The 24,512-nt window shown below is 44.8% G+C and overlaps 1 long non-coding RNA gene and 1 pseudogene across 1 annotated transcript in view; both read right to left on the bottom strand.

The window, feature by feature from the left end:
• LINC01411 (long intergenic non-protein coding RNA 1411) overlaps positions 1-24,512 on the bottom strand; it is a 190,786-nt gene that overhangs the window by 10,330 nt on the left and 155,944 nt on the right. The window lies entirely within an intron of this gene.
• Positions 2,297-3,577, bottom strand: GAPDHP71 (glyceraldehyde-3-phosphate dehydrogenase pseudogene 71; annotated as a pseudogene).

Raw genomic sequence — 24,512 nt, 5'->3', positions numbered from 1 at the left:
GTCCAGAAAAATGGAATCTATAGAGACAGAAAGAAAATTGGGGTTACCTGGGATGGGGGTGAGGGATTGCAGTAAATATGCATGAGGGATATTATTGGGGTGATGGAAATGTTCCCAAATTGATTTACTGTGATGGTATGCAACTTTGTAGATGTACTAAAATGTCATTGAATTGTGCACTTGAAACAAGTGAATGATGTGTAAAATGTGCAATACAGTTATTTATAAAATAAAAAATTAACATATATGCATCACACTACTTATAATGCATTTAAAAATAACTTATAGACAATGTAACACAAATAAATAGTTTCTTTCCCAAGGAGGTTTAAACACTTTTATCTGCATTTTGTGCTTTTTCTTTTGAGATCGGGTCACAAACTCCTAGACTCAAGCAATCTTCCCACCTTGGCCTCCCAAAGTGCTGGGATTACAGGGGTGAGTCACTGCGTCCAACCTTCTATATGAGCTTTTAAAGTAATAAATTTATACAATCCCAATACCAGAGAAGCTTTGGGATTTTCCTCAAAAGGCATCTAGACAAATCAGCTAGAAAACACAACTTGTAGCTGAGATTTTATATGTGTTATCTTTTCCTATCTATACATATACAACAGGGAAGGGGGCTTAGGAGGGGGAAAAAAGAAGCCGTGGAAGGCCTTGGATTTTAAGTTTCAAGTCAGTTCTTCAGCCCTGGTTCCTTCAACTGCAAAATGGGGATAATATCGGCTCTTTGTGGGGCGTCAGCATCTGGGCTCATGGCAGACGGTGTTATTGCCCAGGCTCTCTGCAGAAAGGTGTTGGTTATCTATCATGATGGAGTCAGATCCTCAGGAGACCCTCTGGGATGCACTGAGGGGATATAGCAGTGCTCCTCAAGCTGGAGAGCATGCCAAGATGCAGAATTCTGATTGAGGACCTCCTGGGGATGCCAGTGCTGCTAGGCTGTGCCCCTACTTTTAGTTGCAAGGAGAAATAGCAACCTTCATCCAGGAGGACTTTAAACTTCCTGTCAATCTCAACTTCTCAACCACATCTGCTGATGTTCAGAATTGCTTGGGAAGCACAGATGCCTGGCTTTGCCCATAGGCCTACTGAATTAGTATTTCCTGGGTGGGACCATGGAATCTGAGATTTCTCAAAGCTTCTTTGGGGCTGGGAGACACTGGGTAAGAGAATCCTGTAGAGACTAAAGAAATACCTAGGATTTGGAGAGGTCTTTCGAGTCCCCTCTTTGAGTCCCTTCTCTGCCACTGCGTGGCCTCAGTGAGAATATTTTCCCTCTCTGGGACTCAGTTTCCCCATCTTGACAAGGTGGGTTGGAAGAGATGTCCTCCACCTAACTCCTGTCCAGTACTTCTGTTCTGAGGCTCTGTGAGCCCCAGCTTTCCTGGCCTGCTCCCCATTTCCAATTGGCTGTGGCATTTTTTTGACTCAGAGGGGCAGGCCCAGCAGCCAGGAGGCGGGGAGCTGAGGGCGGGGAGCCAGGTTTTCCGCCCCATTGCCACTGGAGCCGGGCGCCCCGCTCAGGCTATTGTACTCATGGGAGGTCTTAGCTGGCAAGGCCGCCAGCCTGACTGCTCAGGCGCCAGGGCTGTTTCATTATTTCATCAAAGTTCATTATGCTGGGGAGGAGACCAGTAATAAAACATGATTACAAGTGTCTCCAATGAGCACTTAAAGACATAATTGGGGGTGTACATTCTGCTGCATCCCTGCTTGTGGTCACATAACGCTAGGAGATTTGCACCTCTGATATATGCCAGTCTTCGTGTTAATTGAAGTGAGAAAAAAAAACACCCAGAGAACTTGATTCAATTTGTCTCTGGACTGAGTTTGTTGTTGTATATGGAGGAATGATGTGCCATTTTTGAAAACACACAATTAATTATGTGTGCAAAAGGCAGGTACAGAGACACAGGAGACAGCGAGGGACTGAATGGCAGCCAAGCATATCAGCTATCAATGGCAAAGCACTTGGGGAGAAACGGCTTTTGTTTCTTTCTTTTTCTTTTCTCTATCCCCTCCCCAGCTCACCTCTCATCTTTGTGAGACAGCAGCTGGCGACGAATGCCGGCAAGGTAAGAGACGATACTTTACATGCCAGAGCTCACACAAAAGGGTCTTCTGCCCTGTCCCAGGTCATTCATCTGAAGGGATTGCCAGGGTGCTGGGGCAGTGTTGTCCTCTGATCCTCTGAGGATAAAGCCTTGATTGACATTGACTAGTGGGTTTGAGTCCAGTTGCTCAGGATGTAGATTGGAGACCTGTGGATTGTTTTTCGTTGTTGTTTTTTTGGCTGAGCACAGGGGACTTTATTGATGGTACATGACAAGGTGGGGCGCCCTAGGCCCCTCCCTCTTCAGGGTGTCTGCATGGAAACTGTGAGGAGGGGTGATTCTTAGTTAGTGTGGTGGGGGACTGAGTGTGGCAGGGACTCCCCAGCAGTGAGGGTCTCTCTCTTCCTCTGGTGCTCTCGCTGGGGCTGGTGGTCAGGGGGTCTTACTCCTTGGCGGCCATGTGGGCCCTGAGGTTCACCACCCTGTTGCTGTAGCCAAATTCATTGTCATACCAGGAAACGAGCTTGACAAAGTGGCCATCGAGGGCAGTGCCAGCCCCAGCATTGAAGGTGGAAGAGTAGGTGTGGGTGTCGCTGTTGAAGTCAGAGGAGACCACCTGGTGCTCGTGTAGCCCAGGATGCCCTTGAGGGGGCGTTGGATGCCTGCTTTACTACCTTCTTGATGTCATTGTATTTGGCAGGTTTTTCCAGATGGCATGTCAGGTCCATGACCAACACATTGGCAGTGAGGACACAGAATCCCATGCCAGTAAGCTTCCTGTTCAGCTCAGGGATGACCTTGCCCACAGCTTTGGCAGTGCCAGTAGAGGCAGGGATGATGTTCTGGAGAGCTCCACGGCCGTTATGCCAGTTTCCCGGAGGGGCCATCCACAATCTTCTGGGTGGCAGTGATAGCATGGACTGTGGTCATGGGTCCTTCCACGATACCAAAGTTGTGGATGACGTTGGCCAGGGGCGCTAAGCAGTTGGTGATGCAGGAGGCATTGCTGACGATCTTGAGGCTGTTGTCATACTTCTCGTGGTTCACATCCATCACGAACATGGGGGCATCAGCAGAGGGGGCAGAGATGATGACCCTTTTGGCTCCTCCCTGCAAGTCAGCCCCAGCCTTCTCCATGGTGGTGAAGATACAAGTGGACTCCGCAATGTACTGAGCACCAGCATCACCCCATTTGATTTTGGAGGGATCTCGCCCTGGAAGACGGTGATGGGATTTCCACTGGCGACAAGCTTCCTGTTCTCAGCCTTGACGGTGCCACAGAATTTGCCATGGGTGGAATCATACTGGAACATGTAGACCATGTTGTTGAGGTCAACGAAGGGGTCATTGATGGTGACAATATCCACTTTACCAGAGTTAAAAGCAGGCTTGGTTACCAGGTGTTCAATACGACCAAATCCATTGACTCCAGCCTTCACCTTCACCGTGGTGTCTCAGGGATGCGGCTGGTGATGCATGAGAAGATGTGGCTGTCTGTCGAACGGGAGGAGCAGAGAACTCCTGTGGATTGTTCTTGTGGGTGTATATTGGGTAGAATTTTCCTGGGCAGTGGCTGTGTGAGCCCAGACAGGCCATATCTCTTTCTGGGTCTCAGTGCTGCAGGTAAGACCATGCCCAGGCTCCAGCCCTGGAAAGCACGGGGCATGGCCCAGGCAAGGGGGTGAGGCTGCGTGTCAGCCCTGGGTTCAGCCCTGACTCCCCTGGTGCCTGGAGGTCAGGCCCTTCCCCTCTGTGGGCCATGTAAAATCCCCACACTTACTGCATTTCTCATCAAATGGAAAGGTTGGGCTAGACAGTGCCACTCAAATTTGCCTAATTTTAAGACTCATCTGAGAAATCTGTTAAAAACTGATTTTTCCAGCATCACACCAAGGATGTCAGGTTAAAATCTCCTGGGAGAGGCCATGGAATTAGCACTCAATAAATCTTCCAGGTGATACATGGCAGTCTTAACAATCTTTTAGATGTGAGACATTCATATCATAGATCTTTGACAGAGTATACATGAGTGATAATAAAGCATTTCCATCCACTTTGCCCCCCACCACCAGCCTCTTGGTTCCCATCCCCAATTACAAAATTAGTGGCTCTCTGTGTGTGTACTTGTGTGTGTGTGTGTGTGTGTGTGTCTGTGTGTGTATTCTTCCAGTGAAATCTGTGATACACAGGCCAGTATTTATATACGTATATATTTTTTACCCTCTCCTCTTTTTTTATGTTAATAATACCTACTATGTATACTGTTCTGTGTTTTGCCTTTTCTTTTATTCAATACATCTTGGAGATCTTTTCATATCAGTTAATAAAGGCAGTAATGGGCTAGAGTCAACAGAGATGAATCTTTTCTCAAGTTCAAGTTCAGTGACCTCATGTTGGTTGCTTGAAGTTGACCATGGTGGAAGTATCTAAACCACAAGCAAATGCTGCAGTCAGAGTGAACCCCACCCCAGCCTCCCCAGCTAGAGAACTGGATGTTAAACATTTGCCAGCACACCACTAGATAAAGTGCTCTCTTTTATTTCATTTTATTGTATTCTATTTCATTTCATGTTTGTAGCAAGAATACTTACCAAGAGATTTACCCTCTTCACATTTTTTAATGGCTGTGTAGTAATCTATTGTATAGATGAACAATAGTGTATTTAATCAATCCCCTGTTGATGGACATTTACGTTGTTTCTGATCCTCTGCCAATGCAAACAATGCTGAAAGAAGCAATTTTGTACCTACATCTCTTCACATGTGTACATGATTAAGAAACATTCCTAGAAGTGGCCTGACTGGGTCAAAAGCCTGTGCCTTTGTTGTTTTGAGTGGTATTGCCACATTGCTTCTGAGAGGCGGGAACCATGCCCATTCCACAGCAACAGATGAGACGCACCGCTGCTCTCACACCCTCCACGTTATCAACTTTTAGCTATCTCCACCAAGCTAATGTGCATTTCCTCATGATGATGAGACTGAGCATTTTCCCCATATTTAAGAGCAATTTGTAACCCCTTTTCTGTGTGACTCAGTGATTCTTCTGATTAGGAAAGTTTGGAAAAGTCAGACTAACCTAATCTTGTTTTTTTCCCCCTAACAAATGGGAACCCTAAGGCCTTGAGAGGCGTAAGGAGTTAATCAAGACCCCCCTCGCCCATGAGTGATGGCAGAGAAAGGATTAAAACTGGGAGCTGTGGCTCCTTAAAATCAAACAGGGTGCCAGGTAAGCAAGTCAACCATCCAATGAATCTGTAGTTAAAAATTCCGTCAAGTGTTACAAAATGAACTACAGTGGTGGCCCACAGGCTAGATGTGGCCTGCAGACATTGTTTATTTTAGCTTCTTTTCTTTTTTAAATTTTAATTTAAAATAGTTGACAAATTTAAAATAAGAAGATTTGACACTTTTTTTTTTTTTTTTTAAGACAGGGTCTTACTCTCTTGCCCAGGCTGGAGTGCAGTGGTACGATCTCGGCTCACTGCAACCTCCACCTCCCAGGCTCAAGCAATCCTTCCAGCTCAGCCTCCCAAGTAGCTGGGACCACAGGTGCACACACCACTACGTCTGGATAATTTTTGGTGTTGTTAGTAGAGACAGGGTTTTGCCATGTTGCTCAGGCTGGTCCCAAACTCCTGAGCTCAAGCAATCCACCCGCTTCGGCCTCCCATAGTGCTGGGATTACAGGCATGAGCCACCATGCCCGGCCCATAAAAAATCCTTACTTCTGGTTTCTCTTGCGGGAAAAATAAACACAAGAAGCTGTAGCGCTACTGGACTGAATACTCCAGCGGCAGCAACCATCTGGGTGTGGGTAGCAGCTGCCTCCCTGGACAGACACACGAGCTCCGGTTCACTGCACTTCTCACCACTCTGTAGTGACCCTCAATAAGCTGTGCAGCCACTACTTGTCCTCTGTCATGAGGTATCACACTTGTGTTATAACAAAGAGGGAAGTGAAATATTTCTTGTATCTACTGCCTATCAAAATAGGATGACAAAACCTAGACCTAGAAGGTTGTATCTTTAAAGACAAATCTCAGGGGTGTTTTTTTAAGCAAAGAGCATTCCTATGTGTTTAACATGTAGAAATGAATGAATGAATGAATAAATGAATGAATGAAGCAAGTATCTGTATAGATGACAACATACAGAATATGAAATTCACTATGGTAAGAACCCATCAGCTTCCATCATTAATATTGTCTGCCTGATCTTGGAAGTATTTGGTTTTGGGGAGTTTTCATACCCTGGTCTCAAAAACCAGCAAGGGTCTTTCACAGAGGTCATTCTAGAATTTCTTTATAGGAGGGTTTTAGAAATGACCAGCTGACTGGGAGTGGGGGTTGGAGGAATTGTCTTATACTTATTATGTAAGCATGCTGATTTTACCTGGATTTTCTTTTTATCAAGGACGGCTTGGGGAAGATGTTGGAGATGGGGAAGGGGAATACCTTAAGGCTCTTGAGGCAACTTATCATTTTTTTTGTGTCTCCATCTCTGATACCTGTGAACCTGTCTTTGGCCAGGATCTTGCACAGAGAAATATCCATGGACTTGAGACATCAGAAGCTGTTGTCCCAATAGTCCAGAGTGTGATTCAGATGCTCCCTGGTCTCTCTGGCCTTGCTCTGAGCTCTTTGGCAACGTGTGGGACCTCCGTTCATCTCACCTCCTAAGCTGGGATGAGGCTTAACACCGCAGGGCTCAGCCAGGCTTCCCAGGGCTGATCATGGGCATGACGGTGGTTAGCCAGCATCCGGGACCCTTTTTCTGCACACAGAAAATGTTCGGTGGCTCAAAGGAAAATGAGAGGATGCTGTGTCCAGGTGGGCTGGGTTAAACCATGTGCTTGGGGCAAATAAGGGGTACCACTCAAAACATTTGAATCAAACCTGCATGACTAAAAGAGGGTGGTGAAAAAAGCCAAGAAGATTAGAAATGTCTTTTGAGGGAAATTGTAGAAATTCTTATATCTAAAGGGAGGAGAGCCCCGCTCAGAGGCCTCCCATGGCTCACGCATGACTTGATGGTCATTCAGCTAGATGTCCAGTGGATGTCTGGATGGGGGTGCAGAACTGCCCTCCCTCCTTGCTCAAGGCTGCCCCAGCCCCCATCACCCACAGACTGATTGCATCACACTCTCTGTAACCTGTATTCTCTCTCCAGGTAGCCCAGCAGTGGGGGCACTTAGAGAAGGGCAGGATGCCTTTGCTTATGCTAGGCAGGCCAAGGGAGCTCCAGGTGGCAGTGGGATGAAGTAGGAAGGGCCATGAAGAAACTTCCGGGAGAGGCAAATGTTCTATATCGTGGAGGGGTCTGGGCTTATCAGCGTTTGCATTCATCAGCACTCATAGGATGGTAACACTTAAGATTGTGCAATTCACTATATATAAATCTCATCTCAAGAAAAGAAACTAAGCAAATGTTGAGCTCTAATGAATGACACAGATGGACACATGCAAGCAGAAGTGTTGCAAGGTAAAGTATACTGATGTTAATGACTTTGAAATGCATCAAAAAGAATATGAGCGAACGGAGAGATGGGAAGATAATCAGGTAAGTAATAAAACAAGTAGAGTAAAATGTTAATGGTAGAATCTAGGTATTTGGTGTTCACTGCACAATTCTTTCAACTTTTCTGTATGCTCAACATTTTTCATAATGCTGGGAAGAATTGCGAATTAGGAATCCAGTGCTAAGACAATAGGGAGTAGTGGGGACTGCAGTGAACTCGGGGGCATAGGTCTCTCCTACTTGGCTGTAATTGTTAATTGGCTTGTGATTGCAGGTTTGGTGTTGCCAGATATTCTCATTTTTACATGACGTTTAAATGTAAACATTTACATTTTTCTGATGTTTAAATGACAAGAAACAATTTATGCCAATGGTCAAGTGAAACATTTGCAGGTGCACTCCAGTGTGTTACTTCTGCCACAAAGCAAAGCTGATTCAGAGCACGTGTTTTGTGATCAGACTGTCTTCTGGTCCTGGCACCCATTCCCTCTGGCAGTGAGGCCTTGGGCAGGCGTCTCACCTCTTGGTGCCTCTTTTTTTCATCTGTAAAACGGAGCTAAAAATGGAGCCTATATCAGTAGGCTAAAGTGAATCTTAAATGTGATAATACTAGCTTAGCATAGTATCTGGCATACAATAGGCATTTAATATAACTGTTGTTGCATCACTGGTTACTGGCTTTCTGGAAATATGCACCAGGAAGTTTCTTCAAGACCCTTCCCAGTCTATCCCACTCCCAGCCCCCTGCTTTGCTTTTTAATGTTACCAGCCTACAGTCATTTGATTTTTGGGGTCATGGCATATGGCAAAGAAAGAAAGGGCAGAGAGAGAAAACAGCCTCACTACTGGATAGAGGAGGTAAAGGAACCCAGGTCAACCTTCCTTGCCTCATGGACCAACTCTTCCCAATGGGAGCCAGTTTCTGGCCCTCCGGATGCATTCTGCACTGCTCCCTGATACCCAAGGACGCCACCACACCCCTTTCACAGCATACCTTTGCTTGTGCTCTACCTTTTATCTGGGATGCTCCTCCACCTGGCCAACTCCTACCCCTTTCTAGAGTTAATTCAAATTGCATTCTGGCATGGTGAGCAAATGGTAAACCTGGCCTGCAAGCAACATGTAATCAATGTTCTCAATTAATGAGGTAATGGATGATCGGATGAAGTTTTTGTTTGTTTGTTTGTTTTGTTTGTTTTGTTTTTTGTCTTGGCACCTAATTCAGTGTTTGGCACATAGTAGGTAGATGAGAAATTAGTGTAAGGTAGATATACACCTGTAATCTCTGTGACCTGTGACAGATTTATTATAGTGGAAAAATGTATTTGCTTTCTTTGTTATCAAATTCATGATTCCTAGAATCACATAAAGATGTAGAATTGAACACGAGTCAAAAGATCTGACTCTAAGGTTTGACTCTTCCCTTCTCTCTGTGATCTTGGGCAAGCCACCTAATCTCCCCAAGCTCTTGGTTTTCCTCTTCTGCAAATTAGAGACAAATTCTAAGTGAGGTAACTCAAGAATAGAAAACCAAACATCATATGTTCTCACTCATAAGTGGGAACTAAGCTATGAGGATGCAAAGGCTTAAGAATAACACAGTGGACTCTAGGGACTCAGGGGGAAAGGGTGGGAAGGGGGTGAGGGGTAAAAGACCACAAATAAGTTGTGGTGTATACTGCCCAGGTGATGGGTACACCAAAATTTCACAAATCACCACCAAAGAACTTACTCATGTAACCAATACCACCTGTTCCCCGATAACCCATGGAAATAAAAAGTAAAATAAAAGGGGGAAAAATAAGACCTCAAGGAATTGTAATAACCGGCAAAAGAACATAGGCAAGGAGTGGAAAAGCTGATAAAGTCACTTGCCCACGATCTCTTTTTCCCTCCAGAAAACATAACATTCAAGGCAGTACCGCTTTATCATAGCAGCGACTTTAGTCTCAGTTGCATGAACTTAAAACTGGAATAAGATGATGTGGATTTGGAGCCTGGCTCAGCTGTGAACCCTGGGCCTGTCCCTTAACTTTCATAAGCTTCAACTTCCTTATTAGCAAATGAGGCATAATAGTTCTTTTTTTGTAGAGGTCACACAAATTAGATAAGATAATGTGTCTGAAAGCACAGTGTGAACTGAAGAGGACTGTGTAGCTCGAAGGGTTTATTATATTAGTGATGTGCTCCCCTTCGTTGCCCTGCCTTAGGTCCAGCCACCATTGTTTTTTTTGGTTTGTTTGTTTGTTTGTTTTTGACAGAGTCTTGCTCTGTTGCCTAGGCTGGAATGCAATGGCATGATCTCGGCTCACTGCAACCTCTGCCTCCCGGGTTAAAGCAATTCTCCTGCCTCAGCCTTCTGAGTAGCTGGGATTATAGGCGCCTGCCACCATGCCCAACTAATTTTTATACTTTTAGTAGAGATGGGGTTTCACCATGTTGGTCAGGTTGGTCTCGAACTCCTGACCTCAGATGATCCACCCACCTTGGCCTCCCAAAGGCTGGGATTACAGGCGTGAGCCACCGCTCCCAGCCACCATTGTTCTTATCTGGATTCTTGCAACAGCCTCTTTCTGTTCTTTTTCTACTTCCACTTTTGTCCCTTTCCAATTCAATTTCTCCATTTCAGCCAAAAGGGTCTAATCACATCACCTTCTTCAGAAGGCTCTGTGGCCTTCTGGAAAGGCTATCCTATCTGGACCTGCCTCCCTTGCCTGCCTGGTCCTTACTGACCCCCTCTGCACCCCAGCTTCCCTCTTGCTGTGTGACAGGCCTGACCTCAGTTGCTTTAGACCTTGTGCATGTGCTTCTGTTTGCCTTCAACACTCCCCCCTCCCTCCCTGTGGGCAAGGACTGCGTCCTGTGACTGTATCCCCCAGAGCCTAGCACTGGGTCTGGCAGGTAGTAAACACAAAGAAACGTTCATTCAGTGAATGAACCTAATCCTTAAGGAGCATTCACACGATGGCAGGCTCAGGGCTCAGGGCAGTAAGATGCTTTATCTCATGCATAGATATTTCTACTGTCATAATAACTCTTTTTATTACAAGATTACAGTAAGTAAATACATAAATAAATAATTTTTGGCCCTAAAGGGAACAAGGCCTTTTGCATTTCATATTCTAGAAGGTCTACATGTCCATAATACTTTCCTTGTTGCTGGAGAAAATTTTATGATTTAAAAAATAGTTTGTTGCCTTTTTATGACCATAAGCATGAATACATCCACTGTCCTTCATTTTCCTCTTGGGGAGAAGAGATGGGCTGTGCCTCAGATCTAATGTATCTCTGTCCATCCAATACCATAATCCTACCAGCAATCTACTGGGAACCCATAAAAACTTAACATAAGGGGAAAGCCTCAGAACCCTGTTGATTGATTCAGCGGAAGTGGCTTCCAATTTCACTGCTTCTCTCCCCAGCCGGGTGACTTATAAGACTCTTTGTACCTGGACGACTTCCAAGTTTATCATGTGAGTGTTTTAGTAGGTCAATGAGATCATTTTCGAAACTTTCTTCCTATTCTTTCCATGATCATCCCACAGCACCTCACTCTGACACAAGCCCATCTAACACACCTTGGGGGAGGAAGAGTTGGTATCTGTGAACTTAAAGCAACATTAGACTTGCACATGAATCCCAATGCCACCATTTACTGCCTGTGTGAACTTGAGCAAGTGATTTTATCTCTCTGTGCCTCACTTTCCTCACCTATAAAACAGAATAAATTTTGACCCTTGGGGTTGCTGTGAGAGTTGGGTGGATCAAAGGTGCCAAGTATCTAACATCACCCCAGAGGCAGATCTCAGGTATCAGGCACCAGGTACCGGTACCAGGGACATGTGCTCAGGTGCTTTCATGCACCTTATGACTTCTGGCAAGGATAGGGAGAGGGTTTCGCCCAAGGGCCAACTCTGATGGGGTGACGAGTCTACATTCTGTCAAGTTTTCTGGGACCACATTTGGTCTCATGAGGAAGAAGGAGCATGATCTCTCTGTCAAGGTGGACGGGAGGATGAGTAGTGGTTGCTGAGTCCACACCAGCCCTGATTTTTCAAAATGTCACCCTTTGGAGACCTTTAAACACCTTGAGAGAAAGCATTTCTCTCCCCCGCATTTGAATTCCCTTCAAAGTCTGGGAGGAATGAGGGCCACTGCTTAGGAAAATGAATGTTCCTTAATCAAGATCAGAGGAGCAAAGCGGGTTAAGTGGTGGTCAGAGAGACTGGATACTAGGAGAGCTCGAGGCATCACCGTTAGGGCCAGCGTGGAAGCTGACTGAGCCCAGATGAATGCATCTGCTGGCTGAGGCACGTGCATGGTGGAGGTGGCTTTGCATGAGTCTTATAGGCACTGCCTCCATGGTCACTGTGTCCCACCTGGTGCAGAGTGGGGCCTGGGAGGGTCTGTTGCTTGGTGGGCCTTCCTGGAGATGAGGAGATAAGGAACACTTTGAAGGAGGGTGAAGACATTGAGTAAAACTAAACCTTTATTACAATTTTCTTTCCATCTTGAGTTGAGCAAATACTTGGGAGCTTTTTCTACTACTATTTTCCTGTGAGATTATGAACTACAAATTCAGAGGGATGGAAGTGAAATGTTTCTGATTCATTTACAGTTGGGTCAGCAAAATGGGCATTGGTTGGGAGGAGACCGCCCAGGAAGTTATGTAAGCTTCCTCCCGGAACCAGGAATCCTCATTCCAGCCAAGCTTAACAAAATCACCAGGGTCCGTCCGCGCTTCGATTCTAAAGATAGAGCAGGAATGGGGGTTGGGGGATTCCCTTCCCTCCCCATCATTTTTCTGGTCTTAATTACACAAATCGCATCCCTACCTCCCTGCACTCCGGAAACAAATTTTAATTCACAGTAACCGAAGGAGGACCACAATCTATATTCCAATGTGCCTTATCTCAGTAATTTCAGAAGTGAAGTGAAAAAAACAGAGATTCAGAACAACTATTTGCCTAGTAAACGGCAGCCACCACCCCCTTCATTTCCTGCAAAGAAAGCTCTGTTGCAAGCTAATCCATGCTGGCTCCACGCAGAAAACATTATCATTTTTATCGGCCTCATAAATCGCCTTTCCAGATTACACAAAAATATACATTGCCCCACTGTAATTATTCCAGACCCCCCCCTTCTCCCTTTTCATTTTGATCCCAGGTAAACCCAGTCATTACCCACATCAGTGTGGCTTCCCAAAACGTCAAGATTAAAACGGACCAGGGAGACTTACGCAAGACTGAGTCAGCCGAGCAATTTGAACCAATAAATATCAAAGTCGTGTCTAAGCAGAGAACAATTCATTTGATACCACATCTGTCAACAGGACCATGGAGGATTTTCCTTCCTGGGGCCGCGCCCTGGTGGCCCAGCTTGCCTTCTTCCTGGTGCTGTAGAGAAGCTGGGTTTGGTCTCGCTGGAGGACTGTGTCCCGTGCCCAGGACAGGACTTGGTGCCCAGACCAGGGGGGTTTAGAGGTTGAGCTGCCTGCCCTCCAGCCACTATCAAAATGCCCTGCTCCAATGCCTCAGCTGGGCAAGCGCACTCTGCAATTAGCAATTCTTTTTTATTGGTTGATGTGGGCTTCTGGCCAAGAGGAGTTGGGATTGAATCAATATTCCCTTTATTATGTCATCGCGGGCAAAAGAATTATGAAAACAAAAGCTCAATATGAAGCTGCCAATGCTAATTACTGGGTAGGATGCAGAGGCACAATAAACAAAGGGTACTCTGTCCGGGTGGGAAGAGTGAGAGCTGCCTCCTTGCTAGGTCTGGGGGCTGCAAGGCCCATCTTCCCCTGTCCCCTCAAGCCCTAGGCTCCAAGAGGGAAGTTGAAAAGGATCTAGCTTGGTCTCCATGGGTCCAGAAATCTTGGAATGCCAGTATTTAAACCAACACAACCCAATTTAAAGAAGCATTTATTGAGCACCTACTGGATACCAGGCATTGCATTTTCCACATACTGCCACCATCATTATTTATTGCTGTCTCCAGAGTCTGGTGGTAAAGAGGGTATGGCTTTAGAAACAGACACACCTGTCTTTGGATCTCAGCTCAGATGGTATTTACTATGGAAACTTGGCCTCTCTGAGCCTCAGTTTCCTCATCTGTAAAATGAAAATAATAATATGCATGTCACAGAGCCCCAGGAGAATTAACTGAGAAAATATGTGCCAAATGGTTGGCACGAAGTAGTCAATAAATGTCAGTGATTCTTCCTGTCCTCTTCTTCTTCTTCCTTCTCATCTTCCTCCTTTTCCTTATCCAACTTCTTCTCCTCCTTCTTCTTCATCTTATAATCATCATCATCATTCAGTGAGCTTCCCTAGTACCCAGAGCAGGGCTCACTTGCACATTGTTAATTGATTTTATGAATGAGTGAATGAGAGGAAAGAAGAAAGGAGATCAGGCTTGGCAATGTGGAGTGATACAAGATAATTTACATCAGTCTTGGACCCCAGAGCTGACAGCTTAATGAGGAGACAGACATATGTCAAGTTAACTGTCACAGAACGTGAGGAAAGGACATACCATCTTGTAATGGTGAACACCCACCTCTGTCCACCTCCCTGCTCTGTCTCAGAGAACCAAGTTGGAAGAATCAAACATGTCCTTTGTGAGAATGTCCTTGCTTTCTCCTTGAGTGGAGGAATAAAGTGGCATCTGCAAGCCCAGTTTTGCTCTTCCCATCAAGTCATGGGTGGTAGGAGGTGGGCTGGTCAGGGGCGCATGTGGTAGGGGAGGGTGGAGTGGGGTGGGAATAGACAGCCTCCAGCCTCCAAAGCCCATGATCTTTTTGTGTCTCCCCAGAAGCCTCTAGGGTTCACTCCCATGCTTGGCACTGCCCTGGGTCCAGCAATGAGTGCCAGGTCAGTCTTTGCTAAATGAAGAACAGTAGTGGTAATAACCAATTTTTATGCCATGAGTAACAGCTTTCAAATAATTTCCCTTTCACAGGGTCACAGGAAGAGCGTCTGTTGTGGGAATTATTATATGATCATCTCACTTTTTAAGGAAAAACTGAGGCTCCATGAGGGGAAGCGAAGAGACAGTTTTCACACAACTACTCAGGGCCACTCACTAGGTCTAGAGCCTTTCCCATCACTCCAGGCCTTCTGGAATAAAGAGGGGAGCCAGCCCTCCACCTTCTGCTTATGGGATGACTCCAGACATGTGCCAGATCCCGCGTCCCTGGCTTTTTTAGGAAGGTGAGTGCTCCCTAGCTGAGTTTTGTGGGACTCTTTTCCTCACAGGCAGATGATTCGGTCTTAGTTACTAGTTAATTGGAGGCAAAGAGCTTTGACTTCCCTTTCACATCCTGGCATTGTGTGGCTCCCAGCCATGGGATTAGGTAAGTCTCTCTGAATCCCAGATTGGAAACATTCCCATGATAAAGGGCTTCTGAAGGTGATGGAATCAGACCGTGGGAGAATCACACTTCCAAAAATAGACAAACTGGACTTCATCAGAGTTAAAATCCTGTGTGCAGGGAGGGGAGAGAATTGGAGAAGCCTCATTTCCTATTTTACTACTAAAGAAGCACATGGGTGTGTCATCAGTGTAGCTGGTACTCAAACGGGCCCCACACTTGGAGTTTAATGCTCATGGTCATTGTCCTGCAACTTTCAGTAGCTGTCTTTGAATTCGTATTTTGTAAGTGAAGTCTGATGGGACAAGGAAGACTTGGAAACTTGAAGCCTCATCTCCCTCCTGGTCCCACCTCCTGTTGCCTTCTTGCCTACCTGGGATGGTTCCTTGGCTGTCTTTGTCTCCACCCAGTGACCACTGCCATCTTCTGACTCTGGCAGGAGCCTGGGCACAGAAGCAGGGAGGGTTGGGGTTTTGGAGACATGGTCCTGGCATCTGTAGGGGCTTTACTCACTTCATGAGTATCCCCATGCCCAAGGGAATGTGGCATTAAAAAACAAACTAAAAACACCATGACAGGTCAAGAGAGATGGTGGAAGAAAGAAAATAAGCTTTTCCCATGATTTTTGAACAAGGACCCTGCATTTTTCTTTTGAACTGGGTCCCGCAAATTATGGAACTGGCCCTGGTAAGACTTCAGCAGGACTAGACACAAATGGAGACTGTGGTTGTTCTAAATCATCATCATTATATGGCCCAAGAATGGCTGCTAGAGGGAAGTCTAGGTCCAAAACAGAACAGCCCAGTGGTTGCCAGCACAGGCTATGGAATCAGCCTCTGCTCCTACCTGCTGTGTGACCTTGGACAAGTTACTTTGCCTCTCTGATAATTTGTCTTCTTATCTGTAAAATAATAATAGGGTTGTCGGGAAGATTCAATGAGAGTATGCAAGTAAGAGCTCTTGGCAATGTGCCTGACACAGAGCCAGTGCTAAATAGCTGCTGATTGTTATTGTTTGATCATCGTCATTGTCCTTGTCATGGGTGTTATTGTTACGAGTTCTGCTTCTGCCAGCTGTGTGACCTCGAATACATTATCACCCCTTGGAAACAGCTGGCATCACACCCATTATGCTCCAGGGTCTCTAAAAGTAACAGTATCCTCGCAGATTTGGTCAATTGATTTTCATCAAGGGTGCCAAGACCACACAATGGGGGAAAAGACAGTCTCTTCAACAAATGATGTTTTAAAACTTGGATATCCACATGCAAAAGAATGAAGTTGTATACCTCATACTATATACAAAATTTACTTCAAAAATGGATCAAAGACATAAAAGTAAGAGCTAAAGCTCTTAAGAAAGAAGATGGGAGAATATCTTCATGATACTGGATTTAGTAATGATTTCTTAGCTATGACATGAAAAGCACAGGTAATAAAAGAAAAAATAGATAAACCGGGCTTCATCAGAATTAAAACCCTTTGTGTATCAGAAGACACTAGCAAGAGATGGGAAAGACAATTCACAGAAAGGGAGAAAATATTTGCAAATTATATCTGTAATTTATAATTGCTTGATATAGGAGTTATAGGAGTTCTCTACATATTTTGCATATTATCAGATTATTAACTAATATCAGAGTATCAAGTAATCTAATAATATCAAAAATATATAGAGAACTCCTATAACTCCACAGCATAAAAACAAACAATCCACTTCAAAAGTGTGCAAAGCATTCAAATAGACATTTTTCAAAAGAAGGTATTCAGATGAGCAATAAGCACATTGTATTAGTCTGTTTCCATGCTGCTGATAAAGACATACCTGAGACTAGGAAGAAAAAGAGGTTTAATGGACTCACAGTTCCATGTGGTTGGGAGGTCTCACAATCATGGGAGAAAGCAAAAGGCACCTCTTACATGGCTGCAGCAAGAGAGAATGAGAGAGAAGCGAAAGCGGAAACCTCTTACGAAACCATCAGATCTCATGAGACTTTTTCACTACCACGAGAACAGCAGGAGGGAAACTGTCCCCATGATTCAACTATCTCCCAGTGTGTTCCTCCCACGGCATGTGGGAATTATGGGAGTAGAATTCAAGATGAGATCTGGGTCAGGCCACAGAGCCAAACCATATCTTTCTGCCCCTGGCTCCTCCCAAATCTCACGTCCTCACATTTCAAAATCAATCATGTCTTCCCAACAGTCCCGCAATGTCTTAACTCATTTTAGCATTAACTCAAAAGTCCACAGTTCAAAGTCTCATCTGATACAAGACAAGTCCCTCCCACCTATGAGCCTGTAAAATCAAAAGCAAGTTAGTTACTTCCTAGATACAATGGGGGTACAGGCATTGGTAAATACAGCCATTCCAAATGGGAGAAATTGACCAAAACAAAGGGGCTACAGGCCCCATGCAAGTCTGAAACCCAGCAGGGCAGTAAAATCTTAAAGCTCCAAAATGATCTCTTTGACTCCATGTTTCACATCCAGGTCATGCTGATGCAAGAGCTGGATTCCCATGGTCTTGGGCAGCTCTGCCCCTGTGGCTTCGCAGGGTACAGCCTCCCTCCTGGTTGCTTTCACAGGCTGGCATTGAGTGTTTGTGGCTTTTCCAGGTAAATGGTGCAAGCTGTTGGTGGATCTACCATTCTGGGGTCTGGAGGACAGTGGCCTTTTTCTCACAGCTCCACTAAGTGGTGCCCTAGTAGAGACTCTGTGTGGGGGCTCGGATCCCACATTTCCCTTCCACACTGCCCTAGAAGAGGTTCTTCATGAGGTCCCTACCCCTGCAGCAAACTTCTGCCTCGGTATCCAGGCGTTTCCATACATCTTCTGAAATCCAGGTGGAGGTTTCCAAATCCCAGTTATTGACTTCTATGCACTCACAGGCTCAACACCACGTGGAAGCTGCCAAGACTCGGGACTTGCACCCTCTGAAGCCATGGCCTGAGCTCTATTTTGGCCCCTTTCAGCCACAACTGGAGCAGCTGGGATGCAGGGCACCAAGTCCCTAGGCTGCACACAGCATGGAGACCCTGGACCTGGCCCACAAAACCATTTTTTCCTCCTAGGCCTCAGGGCCTGTGATGGAAGGGGCTGTCGTGAAGACCTCTGACATGCCCTGGAGACAGTTTCCCTATTGTCTGGGGGATTAACATTCGGCTTCTTGTTACTTATGCAAATTTCTGCAGCCAGCTTGAATTTCTCCTCAGAAAATGGGATTTTCTTTTCTATTGCATGGTCAGGCTGCACATTTTCTGAACTTGTATGCTCTGCTTCCTTTATAAAACAGAATGCCTTTAACAGCACCCAAGTCACCTCTTGAATGCTTTGCTGCTTAGAAATTTCTTTGCCAGATACCCCAAATCATCTCTCTCAAGATCAAAGTCCCACAAATCTCCAGGGCAGGGGCAAAATGCTGCCAATCTCTTTGCTAAAACATAGCAAGAGTCACCTTTGCTTCAGTTCCCAACAGCTTCCTCATTTCCATCTGAGATCACCTCAGCCTGGACTTTATTGTCCATATCATTACCAGCATTTGGGGTAAAGCCATTCAACAAGTCTCTAGGAAGTTCCAAACTTTCCCACATTTTCCCGCCTTCTTCTGAGCCCTCCAAACTCTTCCAACCTCTGCCTGTTACCCAGTTCCAAAGTTGCTTCCACATTTTCGGGTATCTTTTCAGCAGCACCCCACTCCTGGTACCAATTTACTGTGTTAGTCCACTTTTATGCTGCTGATAAAGACACACCTGAGACAGGGAAGAAAAATAGGTTTAATGGACTCACAGTTCCACGTGGCTGGGGTGGCCTCACAATCATGGCAGAAGGCAAAAGGCACCTCTTACATGGTGGTGGAAAGAGAGAATGAGAGAGAAGCAAAAGTGGAAACCCCTTACCAAACCATCAGATCTTATGAGACTTATTCGCTACCATGAGAACAGTATGGGGGAAACTGCCCCCATGATTCAATTATCTCCCACTGGGTCCCTCCTACAACATGTGGGAATTATGGGAGTAGAATTCAAAATGAGATTTTGGTGGGGCACAGAGCCAAACCATATCACACATGAAAAGATGCTTAGCATCACGAATCATTAGGAAATTGCAAATCAAAACTACAAGAAGATACCACTTCCTACCTATGGCTATAATAAATTAAAAAAAAAAACAGAAAACACCAAGTGTTGACGAAGATGGGAAAAATTGGAACACTTACGCATTGCTGGTGGGAATGTAAAACAAGGTAGCCATAGTGGAAAAAGGTGTGGCAATTCCCGAAAAAATTAAACACATGACCAGCAATTCCACTCCTAGATATATATTCAAAAGAATTACTAGCAGGGACTTGAACAAATACTTGTACATCAATGTTCATAGCAGTAGTGTTCACAATAGCTAAAAGGTGAAAACAACCCAAATGTTCATTAAGGGATAAATGGATAAACAAACTGCTATAGCCATACAATGGAATGTTATTCAGCTGTAAAAAGGAATGAAATTCTGATACATGCTACAACATGGATGAACCTTTGAAACAATTTGCTAAGTGGAATAAGCCAGACACAAAAGGACAAATACTGTATATGAAGTGCCTAGAATAGTCAATTTATAAAGAAGAAAGTAAATTAGTGGTTATCAGGAGCTGGAGGAGGTGTGAATGGGGAATTACTATTTAATGGATACAGAATTTGGGATTCTCTTTGGGATGATGAAAAGTTCTGGAAATGGATAGTGGTGATGGTTGTGCAACACCATAAGTGGATTTAATGCCACTAAATCGTACACTTAAAAATGGTTAAAATGGTAGATTTCATGTTATATTTATTTTACCACAATTTTTAAAAATGGTTACTTCTTAATTTCCCAGAGCCTCAGTTGTCTCACCCATAAAATGGTAGTAAGAACATACGCCTAACCTAGCTCCATGAAATAATGCTGCAGGAACATCCCTGGACATGAACAAGTCGGGAGTAAGTGTTGAAAAACTGCCTATCAGGTGCTATGTTCACTACTTGGGTGATGGGATCCATAGAGGCCCAAACCTCAGCATCACACAATATACCCGTGTAACAAGCCTGCACATGTAACCCCTGAATTTAAAATAAATTTAAAAAAAAAAAAGTTGGGGGCTGGTGTCTTGTTTCTGGCCCTGCCATGCCATTCCAGCCAAACTTGAGGCCTTGGCTTTGACAAGTGAGAGCTGGCGGTTTGATTAAGAGCTGAGAATAACACAAGCATATATTTTTTGATCTTAGGCTTATCGTTTCCTAGAACAGCATTTTAGAAATTGTTTACCCTGGAGCACTTGTCCCAGTAGTTACTCATCAATCAAAAGATGAAATAAGGCTGGGAAATCATCAGCATTTAAGGGCTCAGAGAAGTCCTGCAATTTAAAAAGCATGTCTAAGATTTTCAAAACTTCTGTGAGAATGGGTCTTTTTCCATGTAACATCTACAGACTATGTTTAGGGAAATTCTTGTCTAGAGGCATTCAAAGGTGAAACACTAAGTAGGCCTATTAGGAAAGACACTTGGCCCAGACATGAAGACAGACACACCCATAATTCCATGATTTTTTTTTTTCCCTTCATCCACTACATTAATCTGAGTTCAATTAAGTTCCCCTTAAGCAACTCATTTATTCTCTCTTTATTTATTTGCTCATGCACTCCGCAGAGCTTTACTATGCACCTACTGTATGCAGATGCCAGGAGACAGAGGTGAGCCCCCAAGGCTCAGCCCTTGTGGCACTCACAGCCCGAGAGGGGAAATAGAGAGTAGGACAGCAATGGCACCCCAGGGTGAAAGGGGCTAGTTTGGAAGCTGGGGCACTAGAAATGTGGGCACACAGAGGAGCGCACATCTAGATAATCACCAGAGATTCCCCTACCCCGCTGTAAATTGAAGAAGCAAGAAAGTTCATGGAGAGATTGAGCCATGCTTCACCTCCCCAGGGGCCGAAAGTGGAGCCTCTGAATGGATTTAAAGGGATTTGGAGACACTTCCAACTGGTGATCTTCAGGTCAGTTTGTTTAATTAACATTCAGTCTTTAAGATGTAAGCTACCAGTAAAAGAATGGAAGGTTTCACATTAAAATTTGGATTTCATTTTTTTTTTTTTTTGAGTGGGGGAACAATGGAATGAGCTGACATCTCTGGGCCCACATTCCAAATGTTGCAATTGTTTGAAGCTTGCTGGTCCCCCTCAATTCCCCCATTTCTATCTGCCTGCTTTATTTATTTAGGCTTATTCATTACATTTTCTATGTGAACCTCAGAAATATTTGAGTTTTTATCCCTTTTGAAGATACCGTACCACCCAAACTGTTCCCCAAACATTAGAAATATATAAAAATATGTAGGCTATGTTGTTTGGGTCTTTTCCTTCAATTACAAAAAGTAATATATGAAAATGGAATCATAACGTAAAATGTCACTCCAACCCCCAGCTCTGAAACTTCATGCCCCTTATTACCAATTTTCTATATACAGTGCACTTCTCCTGACTTCTTTTCCCCCTCTGCCTGTAGTACAGCCAATTATTTTGAAAACAGTTACTGTTACCAAATGTTTTTAAAGACTGGTAACATTTCCCAGAAATTTTCTGTGTGGGACACACATCTCTTGGTTTCCAAACAATCAACTGTAACAGGGACCAATAGTTTTCAAAATAACTTGTTGTTTCAATGAAATTGCCCCTTAGTTTTCCCTTGTCGGTGTTTGTGGAACTTCTATCCATGGGTGACACAGAGTTCTCTCTCTAGTGACTGGCAAGATCAGGAGGGGAGGGAGGGAGAGCAGAAGGGGAGGGAGGGAGAGCAGAAAGGGAGGAAGTGACCAGCTTGTTGGTCACCTACTGTGTGCCAGGACCGTTCTGGCCCTTTCTGGGCCTCAATTTTCTCAACTAAACTCTGAGGATAGAAGAAATATTCTATCATGGCTTGTTCATCTCTGAGACAGCATCTTGTTCAACTGGCATTGCATGTTTGGGGAAACTGAGGCCCAGAGAGGTTGTGACTTGCCCAAGATTACACAGCAGTGGAAGAGGACCTAAGAGTTTGTCCTCCTTGTCCCTCTGGCCAGTACTCCTTCCTTTACACAGGTGTTTTTCAGATGTCAGTTATTCAAGCACCACTTTCATAATTTCTGCTGTATTATCATATCATTCATAGAATTATGTACTTAAAAGTTTAAAAAAATCAATTCACTATTTTTGCATAAAACTTTATATCATTACCATAAATGGAAAAACATAATCATTTTATGTTAACAGAAGGCAATTGTACAAATTAAAACTTTAAAAACAAAAGGATATTAAATTTTAGCTTGATGCCATTGTCTGCCAGACTTCTATTTAAAAATATGCCTATCAGTTGCTGAGGGAGGTGTTAAGACAGGCTAGCGCCTAACTGAATCCTTTTCCTTGATCTAATCAGAAGAACTGGAAGGAAAATGAAAGAGAAATAATTTTCTGTTGGGTAAGTTTGACATCCTTTAAAGTCACATACATGCCCCTCAGCACCCGTAAAACAATCTTTTCCATATCAGTGTCAGCCCACTGCCTCCATCTACCCCTGAGACTGGCTCTGTGGACTGTATCAGATCCTACCCTGTAGTGCATGGCAGAGAGTGGCCAGCCCTTTATTGAGGGGAAATATTATGATTACCAAAGCAACCAGCTCTGTGGTCATTTCTCAAAGCAACCAGCTCCAGGGTTGTTATTAGTTAACTTCTCTGAAGGCCTAAAGTCGCCTCTGAATCGAGTTGATTAGTTTGTCCAGCATTGTTAAGGCTAAGACCAGAAAGAAAATTAAAAACCAAAGCCAAAACCAAAAAACAACAGCTGAAATCACTCCTCACGATCCAGCTTCTTTATTTGGAGCAAAAGCAGAGCTTTTCCCTGAAATTGGAAGGTGGAGTCACGGAAGCCCCACCTTGTCTAAAGACACCTGCAGGCCAGATGATCCGTATCCTTGTCCTTCTCTGATCATTCTTTCCTCCTTCACTGTGAACTTTCTGTCCTACCCAGTAATTAGTACTGGAAGCCTCATATTGCCTCTTTTGTTTTCATAATTCATTTACTTTTGATGATATCATAAAGAGTGCAGAAATTGCATCCCCCTCCCCTTAACGTCCTGGCCCCACGCCCACATCCACTAATACAAAGACACTAATTGCTCCTCGCTCTTGTGCCAGGCGCTTTGAAAACATCTTTGGCTAATGGATGGAATTAACCTTGTTTAACATACAAATCAGCAGCCTAATTTGCCTTGAATCCCGACTTTGTGGCTCCATGACTATAGCTGGAAGGAAACGTCTTCTCACTTTCCTGGGCCACACCAGGAGAGAAAACCTCTGGTTGCTAGGATGAGACAAGCCTTCCTCCAGGCCTCCTCCTCTCCTTCTGTGATGGAATCATCATCTGCTTGTGGCGTGTGGGTCTTTTCTCACCACCTCTCAACCTCAAGTCCCTAGGGCCGAGAACAGCTTATTCACGTTAGCGCCCTACCCTGGCACAGTCATGGTGCATGGGAAGTGCTACGGCCTCCTTGCTGAGTGCATTGAGTGGCCACTTCTACATGGAGCATCTCCTGTGTGCCAGGTTGAGTTCTGGGCTCTGTGGACCCAGCAGTCAGAAGGCAAACCTCTTGCTCTCATGGAGCCTACTTTCCAGGGCGGCTGGGCAGCAAAACACAAGGAAATGCATACATTGACTCCATAGATAAGATGTGAGAGAGTGGACCAAGAAAATAAAGCAAGCGATGGAGTAGTGAATGAGGTAGAGGGAGAGGAGCTAGGGAGGCTGGGGAAGCCTCACTGAGGTGGTGACATTTGAGCTGAGACCTTTTCATGGGGGAGCATCCTTGGTGCAATGGTAGCCCCCAGGTATACTGCCAGGCAGGCTCTCCCAGAGGCCATGAAACAGAAAGACTCATGGACCAAACAATGATGCTCAACCACATGGTTTACTAAATTGATCTAAAATATACACTGAGAAACAAGGGGAAGAAAGAAGGTTGGTTACTACACTTAGGACAGGATGCCACGGGGCAAAAGCCCACACACTGTCTGTGTTCTGGGCCATGCAACGCTTCTACATCCTGTCTTTCTCTCTCCCCCTCTTTCTGTCTTGTCAGCCTGCTCTGCTGATGGTGAGGTTATAGACCAGAACTGAGGGCCTGGAGGTGCCAGAACTGAGGTGGGAGGTGCCTGGAGCCAGCACGCTTGTTCTTCCTGAGAGGTGGCAGGCCAGGCCACCTGGCCTGAGCTGTGGCTTGCCAGTGGAAGTTAGTGTTTCTCTCTGAGGGTTTTGGACACAGGATACATTTGGCCAGAAAGGGTGTCACTAATGGTGGGCGATTTGAGACCGTATGGACATTGAGTGCCCATGGATATTTACGATTGGGTGCTCTTGTGTCCCTTTACCCTTTTCTCCCCCTGGTCACACACAGGTGCTCTACTCACTTCCGCTTTGTCTAACGCAGCTCATGAGCTTCTTGCTTACTTACTGTTCTTATGTAGTTTCACCCCACCGCTTTATTTCTTTTTTTCTTT

This window comes from Homo sapiens, chromosome 5, assembly GCF_000001405.40.
Source record: "Homo sapiens chromosome 5, GRCh38.p14 Primary Assembly".
NCBI lineage: Eukaryota > Metazoa > Chordata > Mammalia > Primates > Hominidae > Homo > Homo sapiens.
This window is presented reverse-complemented; position numbering and strand designations above follow the sequence as displayed.